General features: G+C 37.5%; 1 protein-coding gene across 9 annotated transcripts in view; it reads right to left on the reverse strand.

Moving 5' to 3' along the window:
- The window catches only part of ATRX (ATRX chromatin remodeler), a 281,337-nt gene that overhangs the window by 31,221 nt on the left and 228,005 nt on the right, over positions 1-22,111 (reverse strand). For all 9 annotated transcript variants that reach the window (XM_005262156.5, XM_005262157.6, XM_006724666.5 and 6 more), the window contains one exon: positions 21,351-21,545. In XM_005262156.5, the coding sequence (XP_005262213.2) occupies positions 21,351-21,545 (195 nt within the window). The remainder of the gene's footprint in view (positions 1-21,350; positions 21,546-22,111) is intronic.

Below are 22,111 nucleotides of genomic sequence, written 5' to 3' on the forward strand. Positions count from 1 at the left end.
TAGTCATAGGTGTGATTATGTACTACATAGCCTCGAACCCCTGAGCTCAAACAATCCTCCTGCCTCAGTCTCCTGAGTAGCTGGAACTACAGGGGTGTGTCACCATGCCTGGCTTTCAAATATATCTTAGAGAAAGAAAACATTAATAAAAGATAAGAAGTACAATAATAAAGAAGGAAATAAATAAGGCCATCTAGTAATTCTTACACTGATCAAAATCTCTCTTGCAATTTATATTCCTTTAAGGGTCCAAAATAATAAATCTGATGTAAAAAACTTGGTCATGAAAACACTAGTAATGGAAGAGACAAAAGTGAGGTATTCACCTACTTAAACCCTTAAAAGGATCATAGCTTCAGTTTCTTGCTACTCTTACTCCAGGAGTGTTAAAAGACTTACATGTATGAATCAGTCAACCTAACCAATATAGTAACACCACTTTAGGATATTAATATACAGATACTGTGACATTCAAATATCTATATTAATTCAGAATCATTGATCATTCCAACATATTATGTTCTTCTGAACTTTAAATGAAAATGGGGAAAAAAATTAAAGGACGTATAGCTTTGTTTCCCAGGTTTCTCTCTACAATGGATAATTTCATGAGCAGGTTGCCTGAAATGTAAACACCAATATAATCTCTGCAATCAACTTATTTGATAAAAAGAAGATCTGTTTCAGTCTTTTGAATTTCAGAGGTAAATTTAATGGAATGATTTAAATTATATATACTTACACACACACACACGCACGTGCACACACACCAAAAAAAGGTGGTAACTTTGTCAACTGGGAGGCTTTAGGTGTAGTGATTAAGATCACAGGCTCTGGAATACTGCTCTCTAATAGTACTCTCTGCAACGATGGAAATGTTCTGTGTTTGCACTATCCAAGACAGTAGCTACAAGCCACATGTGACTACTGAGTATCTGAAGTGTGACTAATGTGATGGAGAAACTGATTTTTTAACTTAATTTTAATGTAAATGTAAGTAGCCATATGGAGCTAGTGGCTCTTGTATTGAACAGTGAGTCTCAAGCAGATTTTAATCCTAGTTCCACCACTTATTAGCCCTTTGTCCTTGAGCAAGTTAACTTGCTGAACCCTCAGTCTTCTGGTATATAAAATGGGCTACTAAGCATCTACTTCATGGGATTATTGTGGAGATTAAATACTACACATGAAGTGCTGAGTACAGTGCCTGGTTTACCAATGACCTTTGTGTCACTAAATCTAATTGGTCAATTATCAGACCTGATCCTATCTTACTCATCAGTAACATGTGACAGAATTTAATCACTCTCTTCATCAAAATACTCTCTTCTCTTGGCTGGCTTCTGGGAGAACTCTACTGGTGTTATTTACCACTTTCTATTATTTCTAACACCTTTTCTAATAGTGTGAAAGCTGACCCTCACCTTAAAAAGAAAAAAAAAGAAAGAAAAGAGCCTGGCATGGTGGTGCACGCCTGTAGATTCAGCAACTTGGGAGGCTGAAGCGGGAGGATTGCTTGGGCTGAGGAGTTCAAGACCAGCCTGGGCAACATAGTGAGACTCTATCTCTTAAAAAAAAAACATATTTCTATACAGAGGTGTTTTACACCCTAACCAAGTTTTTCTAATAAAAAATTGAGATGTTTGACAGGACAAATTATCTGATATTGGAGTTGTCCAAGAAAATCCTAGATATATGGCTGTCATAACTTTGGAAAGACCAATAGTTATTACCTGTCCTGAATATATATATATGTATTTTTAAAAACTTAGCAGATACACAATAGCAAAGTCACGGAATCAGCCTAAGTGTCCACCAATGGATGACTGGATAAAGAAAATGTGGTATGTGCATGTTCTCACTTATAAGTGGGAGCTGAATGATGAGAACACATGAACACGTTGAAGGGAACAACACACGCTAGGGACTGTCGGGGTGAGGGTTGAGGGGAGGGAGAGCATCAGGAAGAATAGCTAATAGATGCTGGGCTTAATACTTAGGTGTTGAGGTGATCTGTACAGCAAACCACCATGGCACACGTTTACCCATGTAAATCTGCACATCTTGCACATGTGCCCCCGAACTTAAAAGCTGAAGGATAAAAAAGGAAATGTGTGTATACACACACAAACACACACACACACACACACACACACACACACACACCATGGAATACTACTCAGACATAAAAATAAATGAAATCATGTCTTTTGCCACAACATTGATGGAACTAGAGAGGCCATTATCTTAAGGAAATAACTCAGAAATACAAAGTCAAATACTACATATTCTCACTTATAAGTGGGGGCTAAACAATGTGCACACAGGGACAAACAGAATGGAATAATAGACACTAGAGACTCCAAAAGGTGGGAGGGTAGGAGGGAGATGAGGGATAAGAAATTACGTATTGTGTACAATTAACACTATTCAGGTGATGGTTACGCTAAAAACCCAGACTTCACCACTGTGCAATATATCTGTTTAAAAACAATGCACTTGTACTCCCTAAATCTATAAAAATAAAGAAATTTTTAAATTAAAAAAGTTAGCTGATGCATAAAGAACACCTCTCATTACCTAAAATGAAAAACACAGTAGCCTGAGCAATTGTGAGGATCAAATAATGTTGGAACTATAAGAAACTTTGGAAGTAAGTTAATTTGCTGCTCTTACTTTACCAGAGACTGAGGCGCAGACATTAAGTGATTTGTTAGTAATTTTTAAGTTTAAGTAAAGGTAAAGGGCCTTGTTGGATTTATTTTCTTCTCTTTCTGAATGCTAACTTTGCTCCATTTTTTTTTTTTTTTTTTGATACAGAGTCTCACTCTGTCGCCAGGCTGGAGTGCAGTGGCGCAATCGCAGCTCACTGCAACCTCCGTCTCCTGGGTTCAAGCAATTCTACTGCCTCAGCCTCCCGAGTAGCTGGGACTACAGGTGAGCACCACCAAGCCCAGCTAATTTTTCTACTTTTAGTAGAGACAGGGTTTCACCATGTTGGCCAGAATGGTCTCGATCTCTTGACCTCGTGATCCGCCTGCCTCGGCCTCCTAAAGTGCTGGGATTACAGGCATGAGCCACTGCACCTGGCCACTTTGCTCCTTAATAGTTGGGCGATCCTTTACTACAAAGGAATAATATCATCTATAGCTCAGAGCTATTGTAAGGAGTAAATGAGACAATGTATTTAAAAGTAGATAGTATAAGCACTCAATATATATATTACTCCCTTTCCCATACTGGTTTTTAAAAAAATATTAACCCCTTTTTACATGTCATTCCTAAGACATTCTTGCCAAAAATGTATGTCATAAATCTAATCAAGCCTTTACATCTAATTTCTGATTTCTAGTGTACAGGATATATAAGAGGTAGAACATATAAGAGGTAGAATAAGTTCAAACACCGCCAGGAAATAATCAAACAAATCCAGAATGGAGGGTGAGAAAATGAATACGCTAAAAAAAAAAGAGACATAACAAACAGAAACGACCACCACAGACTAACAGCAGATCTCTCTGCAGAAATCCTACAAGCCAGAAGAGAATGGGGGCCAATATTCAACATTCTTAAAGAAAAGAATATTCAACCCAGAATTTCATATCCAGCTAAACTAAGCTTTATAAGCGAAGGAGAAATAAATTCCTTTACAGACAAGCAAATGCTGAGAGATTTTGTCACCACCAGGCCTGCCTTGTAAGAGCTCCTGAAGGAAGCACTAAACATGGAAAGGAACAACCAGTATAAGACACTGCAAAAACATGCCAAATTGTAAAGACCATCAACGCTATGAAGAAACTGCATCAACTAATGGGCAAAATAACCAGCTAGAATCATAATGACAGGATCAAATTCAAACATAACAATATTAACCTTAAATGTAAATGGGCTAAATTCCCCCACTTAAAAGGCACAGACTGGCAAATTGGATAGAATCAAGACCCATTGGTGTGCTGTATTCAAGAGACCCATCTCACTTGCAAAGACACTCATAGGCTCAAAACAAAGAGATAGAGGAATATTTACCAAGCAAATGGAAAGCAAAAAAAAGCAGGAGTTGCAATGCTAATCTCGGATAAAACAGACTTTAAAACCAACAAAGATCAAAAGAGACAAAGAAGGGCATTACATAATGGTAAAAGGATCAATGCACCAAAAAGAGCTAACTATCCTAAATATATATGCACCCAATACAAGAGCACCCAGATTCATAAAGCAAGTTCTTAGAGGCCTACAAAGAGACTCAGACTCCCACACAATAATAGTGGGAGACTTTAACACCCCACTGTCAATATGAGACAGATCAATGAGAGAAAATTAACAAGGATATTCAGGACTTGAACTCAGCTCTGGACCAAATGGACCTAAAAGATATCTACAGAACTCTCCACCCTAAATCAACAGAACAATGCATTCTTCTCAGCAACTCCTTGCACTTATTCTAAAATTGACCACATAATTGGAAGTAAAACACTCCTCAGCAAATGCAAAAGAATGGAAATCATAACAAACAGTCTCTCAGAACACAGCGCAATCAAATCAGAACTCGAGATTAAGAAACTCACTCAAAACTGCACAACTACATGGAAACTGAACAACCTCCTCCTGAATGACTACTGGGTAAATAACAAAATTAAGGCAGAAATAAAGAAGTTCTTTGAAACCAATGAGAACAAAGATACAACGTATCAAAATCTCTGGGACACATTTAAAGCAGCCTGTAGAGGGAAATTTATAGCACTAAATGCCCACAAGAGACAGCAGGAAAGATCTAAAATCAACACTCTAACATCACAATTAAAAGAACTAGAGAAGCAAGAGCAACATATTCAAAAGCTAGCAGAAGACAAGAAATAACTAAGATCAGAGAAGAGCTGAAGGAGATAGAGACATAAAAAAACCTTCAAAAAAAATCAATGAATCCAGGAGCTGGTTGTTTGAAAAGATCAACAAAATAGATAGACCGCTAGCCAGACTGATAAAGAAGAAAGGAGAGAAGAATCAAATAGACGCAATAAAAAATGATAAAGGGGATATCACCACTGATCCCACAGAAATACAAACTAACATCAGAGAATACTAAAAACACCTTGGTGCAAATAAACTAGAAAATCTAGAAGAAATGGATGAATTCCTGGACACATGCACCCTCCCAAGTCTAAACCGGGAAGAAGTCGAATCTGTGAATAGACTAATAACAAGTTCTGAAACTGAGGCAGTAATTAATAGCCCACAAACAAAAGGAAGTCCAGGACCAGATGGATTCACAGCTGAATTCTACCAGAGGTACAAAGAGGAGCTGATACCATTCCTTCTGAAACTATTCCAATCAATAGAAAAAGAGGGAATCCTCCCTAACTCATTTTATGAGGCCAGCATCCTCCTGAATACCAAAACCTGGCAGAGACACAACAAAATAAAGAAAATTTCAGGCCAATATCCCTGATGAACATCCATGAAATCCTCAATAAAATACTGGCAAACCGAATCCAGCAGCACATCAAAAAGCTTATCCACCACAATCAAGTCGGCTTCATCCCTGCAATACATGGCTAGTTCAACATACTCAAATGAATAAATGTAATCTAGCATATAAACAGAACCAATGACAAAAACCATATGATTATCTCAATAGATGCAGAAAAGACCTTCGACAAAAGTCAACAACCCTTCATGATAAAAATTCTCAATAAATTAGGTACTGATGGAACGTATCTCAAAATAATAAGAGCTATTTATGACAAACCCACAGCCAATATCATACTGAATGGGCAAAAACTGAATGCATTCCCTTTGAAAACCAGCACAAGACAAGGATGCCCTCTCTCATCACTCCTATTCAACATAGTATTGGAAGTTCTGGCCAAGGCAATCAGGCAAGAGAAAGAAATAAAGGGTATTCAAATAGGAAAAGAGAAAGTCAAATTGTCTGTTTGCAGACAACATGATTGTATATTTAGAAAACCCCATCGCCTCAGCCCAAAATCTCCTTAAGCTGATAAGCAACTTCAGCAAAGTCCCAGAATACAAAATCAATGTGCAAAAATCACAAGCATTTCTATACACCAATAACAGACAAACATAGAGCCAAATCATGAGTGAAGTCCCATTCACAATTACTACTAAGAGAATAAAATACCTAGGAATACAACTTACAAGGGATGTGAAAGACCTCTTCAAGGAGAACTACAAACCACTGTTCAAGGAAATAAAGAGAGGACACAAACAAATGGAAAAACATTCCATGCTGAAAGATAGGAAGAATCAATATCGTGAAAATGGCCATACTGACCAAAGTAATTTATAGATTCAATGCTGTCCCCATCAAGCTACCACTGACTTTATTCACAGAATTGGAAAAAACTACTCTAAACTTCAAATGGAACCAGAAAAGAGCCTGCAAAGCCAAGACAATTCTAAGCAAAAAGAACAAAGCTGGAGGCATCATGCTACCTGACTTCAAACTATACCACAATGCTCCAGTAACCAAAACAGCATGGTACTGGTACCAAAACAGATATATAGACCAATGGAACAAAACAGAGGCCTCAGAAATAACACCACACATCTACAACCATCTGATCTTTGACAAACCTGACACAAAGAAGCAATGGGGAAAGGACTCCCTATTTAATAAATGGTGTTGGGAAAACTGGTTGGCCATATGCAGAAAACTGAAACTGGACCCCTTCCTTACACCTTATACAAAAATTAAGTCAATATGGATTAAAGACTTAAACATAAGACCTAAAACCATAAAAATCCTAGAAGAAAACCTAGGCAATACCATTCAGGACATGGGCAAAGACTTCATGTCTAAAAAACCAAAAGCAATGGCAACAAAAGCCAAAATTGATAAATGGGATGTAATTAAACTAAAGAGCTTCTGCACAGCAAAAGAAACTACCATCAGAGTGAACAGGCAACCTACAGAACAGGAGAAAATTTTTGCAATCTACTCATCTGACAAAGGGCTAATATCCGGAATCTACAAAGAATTTAAACAAATTTACAAGAAAAAAACAACCCTATCAAAAAGTGGGCAAAGTATATGAACAGACACTTCTCAGAAGAAGACATATATGCAGCCAACAGACATGAAAAAATACTCATCATTACTGCTCATTAGAGAAATGCAAATCAAAACCACAATGAAATACCATCTCATGCCAGTTAGAATGGCGATCTTTAAAAAGTCAGGAAACAACAGGTGCTGGAGAGGATGTGGAGAAATAGGAATGCTTTTACACTGTTGGTGGGAGTGTAAATTAGTTCAACCATTATGGAAGACAATGTGGCGATTCCTCAAGGATCTAGAACCAGAAATACCATTTTGACTCAGCGATCCCATTACTGGGTATATACCCAAAGGATTATAAATCATTCTACTATAAAGATACATGCACACATATGTTTATTGCGGCACTATTCACAATAGCGAAGACTTGGAACCAACTCAAATGCCCATCAATGACAGACTGAATAAAGAAAACGTGGCATATATACACCATGGAATACTATGCGGCCATAAAAAAGAACGAGTTCATGTCCTTTGCAGGGACATGGATGAAACTGGAAACCATCATTCTCTGCAAACTGACACAAGAACAGAAAATCAAACACCACATGTTCTCGCTCATAAGCGGGAGGTGAACAATGAGAACACATGGACACAAGGAGGGGAATATCACACACTGGGGCCTGTTGAGGGGTGGGGATCTAGGGGAGGGATAGCATTAGGAGAAATATCTAATGTAGGTGACGGGTTGATGGGTATAGCAAACCACTATGGCATGTGTATAACTATGTAACAAAACTGTACTTTCTGCACATGTACCCCAGAACTTAGAATATTAAATATATATATATATATATTGGACACAAGCAGGGTAATCAAAATATGGATGTGTTATGAGATGGTGTTAGGGAATTAGGAAGTTATTCATTTTATGGTATTGTAATTATATAAGAAATGTCTTACTATTTCAAAGATGTATTATATACTGAAGTATTTACAAGTGAAATGCCATATACTTGTAATTTAAAAGATTTCAGAAAAATAGATGAGGCAAATGTGGCAAAACAATAATTGGTAAATCTAGCGGATGGGTATATGAATATATTTTTCTGGTTTGAATATGTTCACAATGGGAATTTTTGAAAATTAATTAACAATTTTTTTCATATTTTCCTTGCAACAAGAGAGACAGAAAACATTAGAATATATGGCAGAATCCTGGGACAGCTCAAACTCTAAAAGAGAGGGTCAGTACCCTTCCCCCTTCTGATTAGCTCTATAATCTAGCTTTTCTTTTTCTTTTTTTTTATTATTATACTTTAAGTTTTAGCGTACATGTGCACATTGTGCAGGTTAGTTACATATGTATACGTGTGCCATGCTGGTGCGCTGCACCCACTAACTCGTCATCTAGCATTAGGTATATCTCCCAATGCTATCCCTCCCCCCTCCCTCCACCCCACAACAGTCCCCAGAGTGTGATATTCCCCTTCCTGTGTCCATGTGATCTCATTGTTCAATTTCCACCTATGAGTGAGAATATGCGGTGTCTGGTTTTTTGTTCTTGCGATAGTTTACTGAGAATGATGATTTCCAATTTCACCCATGTCCCTACAAAGGACATGAACTCATCATTTTTTATGGCTGCATAGTATTCCATGGTGTATATGTGCCACATTTTCTTAATCCAGTCCATCATTGTTGGACATTTGGGTTGGTTCCAAGTCTTTGCTATCGTGAATAAACCTACTCATCTGACAAAGGGCTAATATCCAGAATCTACAATGAACTCAAACAAATTTACAAGAAAAAAACAAACAACCCCATCAAAAAGTGGGCAAAGGACATGAACAGACACTTCTCAAAAGAAGACATTTATGCAGCCAAAAAACACATGAAAAAATGCTCATCATCACTGGCCATCAGAGAAATGCAAATCAAAACCATAATCTAGCTTTTCAAAAGAGTATATTCGAAAGTTGGGATCTGGAAACTTAGCCATCTGTAGATTTGTTTAAAGCTAAACTGAATGCATGGCTGCATACCAGCACTGTTCTAAGAACTTCATTTAATTTTTCATAATAACTCTATGAAGCACATATAATCATCATCCCCATATTATGGACGAAACTACTCCCATGGCAAACCAGCATGAGCTGCTAGCTCCTGCCCTCAAAACCAACTCTGCAGAAACTATAGAAGGGAAAAGGCAATATGAATTCCAGAAACTTATAGACAATGTGTGCATATGTGCATGTACACACACACAGACATCCCTGGGGTAACAACTGGCATCATATTTTATCTAAAACATAGTTACTGAAACAGATGAAATAAAGGAAGATATTACCAATATGGAATTCAAACAAATTTAAGAGTCTAAATGAAATATTAGGAAAAAAAAATAACAGTTGAAAAAATAACTCAGTATAAACAGCAAGCGGGGTACAGTTGAATATCTTAGTGAATTAGGAGATAAGACTGAGATACTCTTCCAGAAGATAGTAAGAAAGAATAAAGAAATAGGAATGCAAAAGAAAAGCTAAAAGATATGGAGGCTAGAAGAGCAGGCATTCAGATAGTAACAGTCTCAGAAAGAGACAAAAATAAAAATGCAAAGGATGATATTTTTGAAGAACTAATGGACATACATTTCTCAGAAGTATAATGAAAAAACTGAGGCATAGAAGTCAGATATTTTGACTAAGATAAAGATTCAAACCCTGGTCTTGCCCCAGGACCCCTGTCCTTAACCACTCTGCTACACTGACTTAGGGCTAAGGATCAGTAAGTTCAGCACCAAAGACAATCAAGGAGGACTAGGATCAGCTCTGACACTGTAAGATTGTGTAGTAACTAGATGAAATCCATACCCTCCCCAATATTATACACCTTGATAACACTGTGCCTTTCCATAAACCCACAGTATTGATTAAAACGGTGTAAAGTCATATCAAACCTCAATTTACTTCTCCGCAAGCTTAATCATATAGAATATTAATGTCAGGATAGTATAGTGTAATGGTTAAAGAGTGTGGAGTCTGGAGTCACAGCACTGAGTTCAAGCCCCGGTGCCACCACTTTCCATGCCATAATTTCATCAGAAAATAGAAAAAATTGTACCTGCTTTGTAAGGATTAAATAAGGTAATGCTAGTAAAATCCTTAGCACAGTTCCTGGCATAAACATTGCTCAATAAAGCTTAGATACTGTTTGTTTTTTTAATTCAAAGGTTTAGCTGATAACTATTGTAAAGGCAAATTATACTACTACATACCTTGTACACACAAGAGTGGTAGACCTTGTCAAAAATAGATTCCCAAGGCCTACCTCCAGAAATTCTGATTCAGTAGGTCTTAGATGAAGCCAGGAATCTGCATTTTTTTTTTTTTGAGACAGGGTCTCACTCTGTCACCCAGGCTGGAGTGTAGTGGTACAAACTTGCTCACTGCAGCCTCGACCTCCTAGGTTCAAGGGATCCTCCCAACTCAGTCTCCAAAACAGCTGAGACTACAGGTGCATGCCACCAAGCCTGGCTAATTTTTTGTAGAGACAGAGTCTTGCCACGTTGACCAGGCTGATCCTGAACTCCTGGATTCAAGCAATCCTCCCACCTTGGCCTCCCAAAGTGCTGAGATTAGAGGTGTGTGCCACTGTGTCCGACTAGGAATCTGCATTTTTAATCAAGCCACCAGGTGATTCTCCAAGAAGTACACACAAGGAAAAACACTATTTCAAAGGCATGTCAACTATTGCCTCACAACATTTAGCTTGCAATTTTAGCACAAAAATTCATTTGTTCACATAGCACATTTTTATTGAATACTTGCTATGTGCTATATTATGTATTATGCCAGGTATTGGGGATAGAGTGATGAAGATGCATTAATATAGTTCTTGCCTTCCTAGGCTAATAGGAAGTTCATATTCTAGAGAGAATAGATATTTTAATTTGCCTATAAAGTAAAAAAGCTTACCATTTAATTCATTTATTAAATGAGCATTTATTAAATGCAAACCTGGTATTTTAAATTTCAGGATTTCTATGACCTTAAGCAGCAAATATTTCTAGTACTTCCAACTCTCCATAAGGAGACACTTTTTAAAGTCTATCCTAAACTCTCCCCAATAGAATCTTGCATACCATCCCCAACTCTGCCCTCCACCCCAACACTGCCAGCAAGGCTGCCTTATCTACATTGATGTTTCCATGGACAATTATTTATAAGACAGCTTGCCAGCGTTAGGGAGGCTGCCATCTCAGGGTATCATTGGCTCCATGGTTTCTGTAACCCAAATGTTTTCCCTAAAAGACTTGGTAAATGGCTCCTTAATAGTTTTTCTTGTGTCATAAGGTGGTACAATAAAAAATAAGACAAAACAGCACTATAAATAAAGTATGGTCAGTCTGTTAACAAGTATTTATTGTGTAGTTTGTGGAGGGAAAATAGAAGCATCTCTTTACTTTGGAAAATTACTACAGAAGCATCAGCTGGCTATAAGGTAGACTTTATTCTAAAGTTGCTTATATTATTTAAGAAAAAAAACCCCTTTCAATGTTCTTTGTCAACTGCATGCTAACTTTATTGAAAGTGAAGATCAATATCTAATATATTCCTTCCTGATTACAACTGATCTCTGGGGGAATGCAAGCCTCAAATACCTATGTCTTCTGCAGCTTAGCTGAGATGATCTCCTCTGGCTCCTAAATGTTTTTAGTTTTCTACTGGTCTGTCATATATCAAGCTTAATTTTCTACTCAGGATCAGGACCTCACATGACTCCTCTGAAATTCCAAAAATGTAAGTCCATAAGTATTTCAGAGAAATGAACCTACTATAATGGTAATATTAATAACAATTATGGAAACAAAAACAGCAGCTAACATTTGAACACTTACTATGTGCTAGGTAGTATGTTTACATGAATTACCTCCTTTGTGAGAGAAGTACTGGCACTATTCTTATTTTCTTCAGAAAAATGAGGCTTAGAAAGCTTACATGGTTTGCCTAAGATTACATCTGAAAAGGGTGGTTGGCAAGTTATTTAGGAGAGGGCTTAAACAAGCTGCTCTTTTTACTTGGCATCAATCACCCCAACAAAAAACGAATAGGACACTTTTGTAATCTGCAAAGAAATGGTAGAATTCAAACAATTTTTCTGATGCCCGTTATTTTTTCTGGTGGTCTATTCATATACAGATGAATAACAATCATTTTATACTAGTAAATACAAAGATAGGAATAATATTCAAACTTGTTTTATTAAACAAAAAAATCCAAAACCTGTGATTAAAAAAAAGGCAAAGAAGTAGGAGACAATGACATCAAACCTTATATATGCTTCAATTATGAGCATGGCTTCCTAGAAGAATATGACAACAAATATTAGGTTCACATACCACCATGTGGTTCATACCCCATAGGCTACTAACACTTGCTCTACAATTAAATGTGTTATTTTGAACCTTTATTCTCAAAAGTAAATGTAGGCAGGTTACCAGAAAGTTCCTGAAATAAGTGGATTAGCTATTTCATACTTTACATCAAATTATTTTAATGGAATGTATTTCACACTGGTATTAAGAATGACTAAGGTGAAACCTTATATTACCATCTGCCGGCTAATAAAACTGTACAATAACATCTCTGTTCAGTAAATTATGCTTTGAAGTATTAAAGTTTGAATACAGGACTAAAGAAAGGGGAGAACACTGCACACAAATTCAGCGTAGAGAAAACAAACCTAAAGCCTCACTTAAGATACTTTAATTTAAATCCCCATTTTGTTCTCCCTGTAATCATCAAGTAGTTCACATTTAAAAAGACATACGTAGTCCAGTGCTGGAAAAGGGAAGTATAAAAACATTTCTATGCCAGTTTTATTGGCTTTTGTTTTCTTAATAAAAGGTACAGAGTAGGCTGTGTATACTGTACTTAAGAGGAACAAAACACCCACTTAAGCATATTATAAAATATAACCTTGGCTGCAGGTGGTGACTCATGCCTGTAATCCCAGCACTTTAGGAGACCGAGGTGGGTCGATCACTTGAGGCCAGGAGTTCGAGACCAGCCTGGCCAACATGGAGAAAGCCCATCTCTATGAAAAATACAAAAATTAGCCAGGCGTGGTGGCGCATGCCTGTAATCCCAGCTACTCAGGTGGCTGAGGCACGAGAATCACTTGAACCCCAGAGGCGGAGGTTGCAGTGAACTGAGATTGCAGCACTGCACTCCATCCTGGGTGACAGAGTGAGACTGTCTCAAAATAAAATAAAACATGACCTTGACCAAAATTTTCATCTCTGATATCTGTATAATTAATAAGTTTATTACCAGAAAAGGTACTTTCTCTAACATAATTTACATAAATGTTAACAGGTTAGCTATCAATTTAACATTTACATAAACGTTAACAGAGGTTAGCTATTAATTTAACATTTTAAACACAAGCCATTAAGAATAAGTTAACAAATCGGTATTGCTAGAAACTTGTGTTAAACTACTTATAAGTCTAGATCATGCTACAGTTTCAAAATGGCTGAGAAACATTATCCTGAACAACTAAAAAGATGCACAGATACTTGGTAGAGATGATTCAGGAGGCCCTTAAATCAACTTATTAAAAAATAGGTTCACAGGACGTCAAGGCTATTATATTTCCAAAAGGGAAAAGCAGCAACAGTAAGAATCCAATGAGGGGATTTAAAATAATAAAGTGGACAGGCATAGTGGCTCATGCCTGTAATCCTAACACTTTGGGAGGCCAAGGCAGGAGGATCACATGATGCCAGGAGTTCAGGACCAGCCTAGGCAATAGAACGAGACCTTGTCTCAAAAATGAAATGAAATGAAATGAAATGAAATGAAATAAAATAAAATAAAAATAATAAAGTAATGAGTAGAGTGGTGAATGAAGCTAAGATAGCAAATTAAGAATCTAACTGAAGATATAAATTAAAGCTCGAATTCTCTTCCTTCCACAAACCCACTGTGACAGACTAACCAATCTTCATCTCAATTTTACTGCTTGAAAAGTAAGTCTAATTCCAACACTGCTTTTCAATGATATATGGATCACTAAGGAACACTATAAAGACAACTAGAATTTCAAAAAAGTCTAGATAAAAGTGCCAAGCAATTATCCACCATGATCAAGTGGGCTTCATCCCTGGGATGCAAGGCTGGTTCAACATATGCAAATCAATAAACGTAATCCAGCATATAAACAGAAGCAAAGACAAAAACCACATGATTATCTCAATAGATGCAGAAAAGGCCTTTGACAAAATTCAACAACCTTCATGCTAAAAACTCTCAATAAATTAGGTATTGATGGGACGTATCTCAAAATAATAAGAGCTATTTATGACATACCCACAGCCAATATCATACTGAATGGGCAAAAACTGGAAGTATTCCCTTTGAAAACTGGCACAAGACAGGGATGCCCTCTCTCACCACTCCTATTCAACATAGTGTTGGAAGTTCTGGCCAGGGCAATCAGGCAGGAGAAAGAAATAAAGGGTATTCAATTAGGAAAAGAGGAAGTCAAATTGTCCCTGTTTGCAGATGACATGACTGTATATCTAGAAAACCCCATTGTCTCAGCCCAAAATCTCCTTAAGCTGATAAACAACTTCAGCAAAGTCCAGGATACAAAATCAATGTGCAAAAATCACAAGCATTCCTATACACTAATAAGAGACAAACAGAGAGCCAAATCATGAGTGAACTCCCATTCTCAGTTGCTTCAAAGAGAATAAAATACCTAGGAATCCAACTTACAAGGGATGTGAAGGACCTCTTCAAGGAGAACTACAAACCACTGCTCAATGAAATAAAAGAGGACACAAACAAATGGAAGAACATTCCATGCTCATGGATAGGAAGAATCAATATCATGAAAATGGCCACACTGCCCAAGGTAATTTAAAGATTCAATGCCATCCCCATCAAGCTACCAATGACTTTCTTCACAGAATTGGAAAAAACTACTTTAAAGTTCATATGGAACCAAAAAAGACCCCGCATTGCCAAGTCAATCCTAAGCCAAAAGAACAAAGCGGGAGGCATCACGCTACCTGACTTCAAACTATACTACAAGGCTATAGTAACCAAAACAGCATGGTACTGGTACCAAAACAGAGATATAGACCAATGGAACAGAATAGAGCCCTCGGAAACAATATCACACATCTACAACCATCTGATCTTTGACAAACCTGACAAAAACAAGAAATGGGGAAAGGATTCCCTGTTTAATAAATGGTGTGCTGGGAAAACTGGCTAGCCATATGTAGAAAGCTGGAACTGGATCCCTTCCTTACGCCTTATACAAAAATTAATTCAAGATGGATTAAAGACTTAAATGGTAGACCTAAAACCATAAAATCCCTAGAAGAAAACCTAGGCAATACCATTCAGGAAATAGGCATGGGCAAGGACTTCATGTCTAAGACACCAAAAGCAATGGCAACAAAAGCCAAAATTGACAAATGGGATCTAATTAAACTAAAGAGCCTCCGCACAGCAAAAGAAACTACCATCAGAGTGAATGGGCAACCTATAGAATGGGAGAAAATTTTTGCAATCTACCCATCTGACAAAGGGCTAATAACCAGAATCTACAATGAACTCAAACATATTTACAAGAAAACAAACAAACAACCCCGTCAACAAGTGAGTGAAGGGTATGAACAGACACTTCTCAAAAGAAGACATTTATGCAGCCAACAGACACATGAAAAAATGCTCATCATCACTGGTCATCAGACAAATGCAAATCAAAACCACAATGAGATACCATCTCATACCAGTTGGAATGGCAATCATCAAAAAGTCAGGAAACAACAGGTGCTGGAGAGGATGTGGAGAAATAGGAACACTTTTACACTGTTGGTGGGACTGTAAACTAGTTCAACCATTGTGGAAGACAGTGTGGCGATTCCTCAAGGATCCAGAACTAGAAATACCATTTGACCCAGCAATCCCATTACTGGGTATATACCCAAAGGATTATAAATCATGCTGCTAGAAAAACACATGCGCATGTATGTTTACTATTCACAATAGCAAAGACTTGGAACCAACCCAAATGCCCACCAATGATAGACTGGATTAAGAAAATGTGGCACATATACACCATGGAATACTATGCAGCCATAAAAAATGATGAGTTCCTGTCCTTTGTAGGGACATGGATGAAGCTGGAAACCATCATTCTCAGCAAACTATTGCAAGGATAGAAAACCAAACACCCCATGTTCTCACTCATAGGTGGGAATTGAACAATGAGAACACTTGGACACAGGAAGGAGAACATCACATACCAGGGCCTGTCATGGGGTGGGGGGAGGGGGGAGGGATAGCATTAGGAGATATACCTAACCTAGACGACGAGTTAATGGGTGCAGCACACCAACATGGCACACGTATACATATGTAACAAACCTGCACGTTGTGTACATGTACCCCAGAACTTAAAGTATAATAATAATAAAAAAGTGCCAAGCATTGCATTATTCACTAAGGATACTGAAGGAAGCACAGAATGCAGTTCTTGCCTTTAAAGAGGTACAAAGACAAGAAAAATAGTCAGGTGGCTAATTAAGTCTGAGGTATTAAATCAAATTAGAAGTAGAGAAGTAAAAACTGAACAAGAAGAGAAATGGAGGAACAGGAATTAAGTAATAATGACCTAAGGAGGAAGTGATGAAGCAGAAAGAGATACAGTAATCACATATCAAGTAAGTTAAAAAGAAGTGCTTTCGGGACTACCAAAAGACAAAAAAACCTCATAAAAGCATGGAATTTAATTATTACTTAGATAACAGCAATTGAAAGGATGAAAATGTATCATTTTTAGCAGTCTTTCATCTTAAAAATCATGGACAAGAAGGAAGGTGTTTGCAATTGTACTATAATAACAGGAACCAACTTCAAAATACCTTGAATAAAAGCAGCTTCAAATACCAAAAAATCCATCACCATGAATATCCAAACGTACCAAGAAATCCCTCGCCATGAATATCAAAACGTACCCATTTCAGATGACCAGTTTTCAAATTCTATTAAACTAGTGGAAATCTTACATGAAATTCTAATTATAAATCAAGGGAACATTAATAATTACTGAGTATCTATATTATGCCCAGTACTTCTCTGTCTCCACTGCTAACATCTCATATCAGGCCTGTATTACCTCTCCCACCTGAATCATTTTAGTAGCATCCTAACAAGTATCTTAATATCCATTTTCTTTTCTCTGATCCATCCTCCACACTGATACATAAAATGATTTTTTTCTAAAATGAAAATGTGACGGTAGTCTCTTGCTTAAAATTGTTAAATAGATACCACAACCTATAACACAACTTACAAACTAATTTCTATGATTTGATTCCCACCTACCTTTCCAGTCTTTACTTTTACCTCTTCCCACACTCACCCTTACTCTACCAGTATCTCCTTATACTCTTATTTATTTTTAACTACTTGAGGTTCTTCAAACTTATCATGCCATGTTATGCATGTGCTTCTTTTTTTCTATTCCCCATCTTGAAAGGCCTTTTGCTCTTCTGCCGTCTTAGCAATGCAAACAGTTACCCAGTTCTACTTTCAACATCTGTTCAAGCACATCAATATCCATCCCAAACTTTCCAAGAAAGAAATGAATATTCCTTCCTTGGCACCTGCACAGATTTCTATTATAGGATCTGTAACTCTTACTATATTACTTGCTTAAGGTAAGCTTTTAAGACTATAGCTTCTTGGGAACAGAATCCTAGACTTATTTATGAGTGTATCCTTAGAGACCAGTACAATTGGCATATCATAGGCACCCCAAAAAGTTTAAATCAATGAATGAATAACTAAGCTTCATTATTTAAGATAAAATTTTTTGGCTGGGCAAGGTAGCTCATACCTGCAATCCCAGCATTTTGGGAGGCCAAGGCAGGTGAATCATCTGAGGTCGGGAGTTTGAGACCAGCCTGGCCAACATGGTGAAACCCCATCTCTACTAAAAATATAAAAATTAGCTGGGTGTGGTGGCACATGTCTATAACCTCAGCTACTCGGGAAGCCGAGGCACAAGAATCATTTGAACCCAGGAGGCGGAGGCTGCAGTGAGCCGAGATCATGCCGCTGCACTCCAGCCTGGGCAACAGAGTGAGACTCTGTCTCAAAGAAAAAAAAAACATTTTCGCTGCCTATCCCTTTAAAAGCTAGTCTATTATCAGTTGAGTTCTACCATTTATTTTCATGAAATGTCTGATCGAGCCCACAATAATCACTCCAGGCTAATTTTCTAAAAGCCCAGATTCATCATACAACAGTCCCATTCAAGAACTTATAGTAAACATTATTTTAAAGCGCAATGCCTCCATTTGCCTTTCATGGCTTTCCTACTTATCTAACCTCCACTCTTCATCAATGCCAGGCCAATTTCATCATCCCTTAAGCCTGGTACATAAATTCTTACCTCTGTCCCTTTGCCCAAACTGTTCAATCTCTCATTCACACTTGATTCTTCCCTTTATCCAATTAAATACTAACCATCTTTTATAGGCCAACCAAGTCTGATTTTTCTCCCATCAAAATTGTATCTGAATGCTCCATCCTTCCCCTATTATAAGCAAAGATACTCAGCACCAGTCACATCAGCACTTCATTCTTTCCCTTTTAAGAATGTTACTTTTTTCTCCCCAACCGGATTATCAGCTCCTTCAGGTATCTGATTGTACTTCCTGGATAGATCTCTCACAGTTTTTAGTTACTGTGATAGAAAGGCAACATGGCATTGTGTTTTAAAAACTTTTTTTTAAAAAGCAGGCACGTCCTCTCTTTGAATTAAATCTTATGTTGAAGTCCAATACATTAAAAAGATAAAAGAGGGGCTCTGACTGAAATGGGATGTCGGGATCAGAGTGTTCATTGCCTGGCCCCTCTGTACTTGCTTAGCCACATGGTAGCAGTCCCTAAAGCATCTCCTGGGGTTCCTTGTAACACAGTTTGAAAACGACTGGGTTCACAATGAGATGCCATCTCACACCAGTTAGAATAATGATCATTAAATAAGTCAGGAAACAACAGATGCTGGTGAGGATGTGGAGAAATAGGAACGCTTTTACACTGTTGGTGGGAGTGTTAGTTCAACCATTATGGAAGACAGTGTGGCGATTCCTCAAGGATCTAGAACCAGAAATACCATTTGACTCAGCAATCTCATTACTGGGTATATACCCAAAGGATTATAAATCATTCTACTATAAAGACACATGCACACGTATGTTTATCACAGCACTATTTACAATAGCAAAGACCTGGAACCAACCCAAATGCCCATCAATGACAGACTGGATAAAGAAAATGTGGCACATACACACCAAGGAATACTATGCAGCCATAAAAAGAATGAGTTCAAGTCCTTTGCAGGGACATGGATGAAGCTGGAAACCATCATCCTCAGCAAACTAACACAAGAACAGAAAACCAAACACTGCATGTTCTCACTCATAAGTGGCAGTTGAACAATGAGAACATATGGACATGGGGAGGGTTACATCACCCACTGGGGCCTGTCAGGGGGTGGGGGGAAAGGGGAGGGAGAACATTAGGACAAATACCTAATGTATGCAGGGCTTAAAACCTAGATGACGGGTTGATAGGTGCAGCAAACCACCATGGCACATGTATACCTATGTAACAAACTGCATGTTCAGCACACGTATAACAGAACTTAAAGTAAAAAAGAAAAAAGAACAAAAAAAAGGACCAGGCGCGGTGGCTCACACCTGTAATCCCAGCACTTTGGGAGGCTGAGGTGGGTGGATCACAAGGTCAGGAGTTCAAGACCAACCTGGCCAACATAGTAAAACCCCATCTCTACTAAAAATAGAAAAAAAAATTGCTGGGCGTGGTGGCAGGCGCCTATAGTCCTAGCTACTTGGGAGGCTGAGGCAGGAGAATCGCTTGAACCCAGGAGGTGGAGGTTGCAGTGAGCTGAGATTGCGCCACTGCACTCCAGCCTGGGCGACACAGTGAGACTGTCTCAAAAAGAGGTAGAAGGAGAGGGAGAGGGAGAGGGGGAAAGGGAGAGAGGGAGAGAGGGAGAGAGGGAGAGAGGGAGAGAGGGAGAGAGGGAGAGAGGGAGAGAGGGAGAGGGAGAGAGGGGAAGAGGGAGAGAGGGGAAGAGGGAGAGGGAGAGAGGGGAAGAGGGAGAGGGAGAGAGGGGAAGAGGGAGAGGGAGAGAGGGGAAGAGGGAGAGGGAGAGAGGGGAGGAGGGAGGTGGGGGTGGGGGAGAGAGGGGGAGGGGAGAAGAGAGAAAGAAAACTACTGGGTTCAAATTCTAGCTGTAACACTTACTGGTCATGTACCCTTGTGTAATCACAAACTCTAAATCTCAGCTTCCTGAGATAATGTATATGAGACAGGCCTTTGTAAACCTTAAAGTTTTCCATAAATTTGAGGAGTATTTAACCTTCACAAGACATAAGCTAAACTGACTATATTATACCATCTTAACAGTTATATCACACAATATTACTGACTGTGAAAGCATTCTATATTTTAAAGTCCAGATTTATTTAAACTAAAATAAAGCATCCTAAATGTCATTCAATTCTGGAAATCCCAGGTCCTCTGCTTTGCTTCTTGTATTTGAAAATAACTTTCTAATCTCCATTTGGAGGACAAAAAATTATAATGATTAAGAGTAATGCTTTTGAGTTGGTCAGATATGATTTGAAGACCAGCTTTACAATATGGTGTGTAAACTTGGGTAAGTTACCTAGCCTCTCTGAACCTCAGTTTCCTCATCTTGAAAATGAAAACAGGACTATCTGCTTTTCAGCTGCTGGATTGAGGGAGATAATCTGAACAATGTCTTGTTTTTCTTAGTATTCTCTCACAGTATACCTCTCAAAGTCAGCAAATAATACACGTTTATAAAATTAACTGGTTTCCTGCAACCCGAAATTCACCATATGAATAAATTCGAAGTAATTTCCCCTTTTCTAATTGGAAAATTTGTCTGCTACTTCTTATAAAAGTTGAAGTGTAAAGTATATTAGAAAATATGCTAATTAGATATATTATATGTGGCATAAAATATGTGTTTCAGAATATACTATCTTTTTGTGGTGCTATATGGAGAACAGATCAAGCACCCTATCATTTATAATTTTCTAGACAAAATTCATTAAATATCATTTTATTATCCTTGAAAAATTCTGAAATATAGCCTTAATCAGATGACTAAATTTGATATCAGTAGTAAAATTTCCTTAGTCCACGTTGGTTTGTTAAGCCAATAATCTAAATATGTTTACCTTTGGCAGCATGGGAGTATCCCTCTTCTTCTTCTTTTCTGAATTAGGGTCATCTAATAAGTCTGGCTCAAAAGTATAAAGTTCAGTAAGCTCATTCATAGTAAAATGACGCTCCACCTGCTGCTGATCAACAACTCGAAAAGACAGTGACTGCTTAGTTACTTGCCGATCATAAATCTTATCTTCCATGGTTCCCTTTGTAAAAAGAAGGAAGAATATACAAAAAAATAAAATTTTGTAAGCATGAAACTTAATCAAGGATAAATACGGTTACTGGTTAATATGAAATGGTAAAACTTTATGGTAGTATATTGCCATAAAGAAAAACTCATCAGCAATTTTGCTTAATTCATGAAAGATTTCATCTGTTTAGCATAGTTTACCATAATAAATAAAATTACATTACTGATAATTATTCTATATTAACTGACCAAAATGCATTCAAGTGTTGCTTTATTTATTTCTGTACTCTGTAGGAGGAGGACAGCAGGCAGATACCAGAGTAAACAGAAATAAAGGGACAGACACAAAAAACATTTAGGTAAATATTGAAGTTAGAATGCAAGAGAGCAGTTTGATTCCTTTTCAATGTAATATAATAAGCTATCAACAAACACCATAAAATGCCTTTATATCGTTTTATTTTCTATAATTTCAAGACAGAAAACAAATATAAAATACCATATCCATTACATATAAACTACATTAATTAAATGTATACATTATATTAAATGTATATTAAATATAATACAAATTATAAA

The sequence above is a fragment of the Homo sapiens genome, chromosome X (assembly GCF_000001405.40).
Source record: "Homo sapiens chromosome X, GRCh38.p14 Primary Assembly".
In the NCBI taxonomy this organism is placed as follows: domain Eukaryota; kingdom Metazoa; phylum Chordata; class Mammalia; order Primates; family Hominidae; genus Homo; species Homo sapiens.